This window comes from Homo sapiens, chromosome 13 (assembly GCF_000001405.40).
Source record: "Homo sapiens chromosome 13, GRCh38.p14 Primary Assembly".
NCBI classification, from domain to species: Eukaryota; Metazoa; Chordata; class Mammalia; order Primates; family Hominidae; genus Homo; species Homo sapiens.
In genome coordinates this window covers 65,963,379-65,966,645 of record NC_000013.11, presented here as the reverse complement: position 1 = coordinate 65,966,645, position 3,267 = coordinate 65,963,379, and the positions used below count along the sequence as shown (strand labels likewise).

Sequence of the window (3,267 nt, the reverse complement as noted above, 5' to 3'; positions counted from 1 at the left end):
TATGTCAAGTTTCTAGAATCCTACAGAGAATTAGAACAATTTGCTTTAGGAAATCCCCCTGATCCTTCAGTGTGGGCGCACATTGATTGCCACTGGAATACACAAGGTACAAGCCAGCATGACTGTTTCAGATCCTATGCATCTGGTTTTCTTTTTCTTTGCTTTGAGAATGATAATCTTTTAGAAGATGTCATGCTTCAGTGGTAAACCCCATAGATGCCAAATATTAGGTTGGCACAAAAGTAATTGTGGCTTTTGCCATTAAAAGTAATGGTAAAAACTGCAATTACTTTCGTGCCAACCTAATATTTGTGTGAGGTCTTACAAATTTCCTAAGGTAAGGTCAGAGAACAACGAACAAATCCCATCCTCTCTTTCTGCAGCCCAAGGATCTGCCATTTCTCAGCATGAGTAAACATTTGATTCTTTTTATCTCCATTCTCAAATCGCTTTTCTACATATCTTCTTTATATGAAATACTAGCATTATCTCTTCAAAGAACTTAGGAAAGTTAGAAAAAGCCTTCAACATGAACATTTGCTAAAATCTTCCCACAAACTAAAAAAAAAAAAATTTACACTTGAGATTTAGCAGATGTAAAAGGAGTACATCATTCCAAGATCATAAAATTCATCCAAAGATATGAAAATGTATATTATTCTATGAAAACAGTGCAACGTTATCTGACACTAGAAAAGGATAGTTTGACAAATGAAAATTATAGGCGAGTCTGATTTATGAATATTGATTCTTATTGACTCTCACTCTATCACTTAGATAGGTCAGGTAATGCTGTGGTATAAAAAGCTCCCAAATCTCATATGTTTAACAGAAAAAAAAAGTTTATTTTCCCTTATGCCCATTTTCTGGTTGTCGAAAGAACTCTATTCAATGAGTCATTCAGTGAACTAGAAGCTCACAAGCTCTATTGCAACATGTGCTTCCAAGATCTCTTTGGAAGGAGGAAGATCGTTCTGGACAGTTCAGACTTGTAATTAAATATTGCAGCCCAGAAGTGACACACAGGTCTTCCATTCACCATGAATTGGCTATGCCTAATTAAAGTTAGGGAAGAAAGAAGAGAAGAAACAAATATCAGTGAGTAGCACTAATGACTACCACATTTAGCAAGCAATGTCTACAAAAGTGATGACCTCAATTTCATCTACTGCATTCATTTCAAGAATACAGATAGGGCAACATTAGAAAAAATTATCAAGCAATTAATAACATTAAAAGATTAAAAGATGATTAGAAGATAAACAAAATTTTTAAATAATCCTACTTGGTGAAGTAAGAGTTAGATAGAATTCAATAGCCATTCATGATTTAAAAATATGCAAATGAAGAAAAACACAAATGAGACAGAATAAGAATTAAAAGAAACCTTGTTAATAAATTAAAAAGAAATATACATCAATACTATCATATCATAAGACATAAATCCTGAAAATATACTAATAATTAAAGTTATAAATAGTATCTAAGTAAATGAAGTATATTATATTCCAAAATTGAAGATGTCAATATGTCAAAGTTTTTTATTCATCTAAAAAGATATGCAGTTTAAATATAATCTCAATTAAAATCACATTTTTTAAAGACGAAAATCTGAATTTAATATTAAATGTGAAAATGTGAAGGTCAATGGGGTAGAGAGGGGCCTTTTCCTCACCAGTTATCAAAACTCACTACACAGCTACAGTGACTAAGACACTGTGGTATTGATACAGTGACACATAGATTGACATGTGGATTACACTACACAGTACAGAACCAGGCACACTTGGGCATGGAAACTTAGGCATGATGGAAGTGGTATTATATCCTTGGGGGAAATAATGAGAGTTTTGACATTTCAAAAAATGTCTATCCTTAGGGGGAAAATGAACAAGTACTTCACACAATTAAAGCAGACATACAGTTAAACAGAAGAAATAAGACATGGTGTTTGACAGATAAGGAGGATGATTAATCAATGACTGATTCATCATCGACTGAACATTTCAAAATAACTAAAAAAGAATAATTCAAATGTCTCTAGCACAAAGAAAAAATAAATATTTAAGATGATATCAAATTATCCTGATTTGGTTATGTGAATGTATCGAATTATCACATGTACCCAGAAAACATGCACATTTTTTACGTATCAATGAAAACTACAAAATGTTGATAAAGTTAAAATAACTCATTTCCTGGTAGATAAACCACCTAAATTTTATAGGCAAAATTTAAAACTTTAAAAGACAATGTAGATTATGTATAAATACCTTCAGGTAAGAAAAGATTTTTTTAAAGTACATAATGCTAAATTAAGTATTGATAAAATATTTAAAATTTAGAAGTTCTGCTCATCAAAAAATACAAAGAAAGAAGAGAGGCCACAAATGGGTAGTTGATATTTGAAATATAAATAACCAATAAAAAGCACTTCTCTAAATTATTATAAAAATTAATAATAAATTACAAAGCAGTCAAAAAGTAGGAGTAGGCATTTTACCAAATAAGCACATTTGAGGAATATATATTTGAAAAGATGATCAATTTTGTTATTCATGAAGGAAATGCAATGAAATATATTTTACCCCCACTGTAGATTATAAAAAATTAAGGTGTTGGAGAATACCAAATGTTAAAAGAGGCTGTGTATTTTTTAAAAAAATACTTATACATTGCTGTTTGAAATGTAAATTGGTATAACAACTTAAGAAAATAATATGATCTTATTTTATAAAGTTGACTTGTCACTCATCCTACATTACAGAGATTTACATGTACACCAGAACCCATACACAAGAATATTTGTAGCATCATCATTTTTGTAATAGCAAAAATACACACACAAACAAACAAAAAAAGGAAACAACTAAATGTCTATGGACAAAGAATGGATGGATAAATAAATTGCACTATAGTCAATCTTACAAGAGTGGGTTACACTACAGCACATGGGATGCATAAAGCACAGCTAAAGGAGTATATGTGTTAATTGTTGAAACATAACATTTTTTGAAAAAAATCTTATCTCAGAAGACTACATAAAGTTTTACATATCTCTATTACTTTCTTATTTCTGTTATAATAAGTTAACTCAATCATACGGTCTTAAAACAATGAAAATTTGTTATCTGACAGTTCTGGAGGCCAGAAGTTTGAAATAGGTTTAAACTGGGCTAAAATCAAGATAGCTACTGGGCTGTGTTCTTTTCTGAAGTCTCCAAGGGAAGAACCCCATTTTCTTGCCTTTTCTGACTTGTTGAGGCT

The 3,267-nt window shown here is 30.9% G+C and overlaps 1 non-coding gene across 1 annotated transcript; it reads left to right on the top strand.

Annotated features, from left to right (window-relative positions):
• Positions 1 to 216: 216 nt before the first annotated feature.
• On the top strand, positions 217 to 316 carry MIR548X2 (microRNA 548x-2). The gene has a single exon (NR_039692.1). It is a non-coding gene; the product is annotated as a microRNA 548x-2 (primary transcript).
• The last annotated feature ends 2,951 nt before the right edge of the window (positions 317 to 3,267 follow it).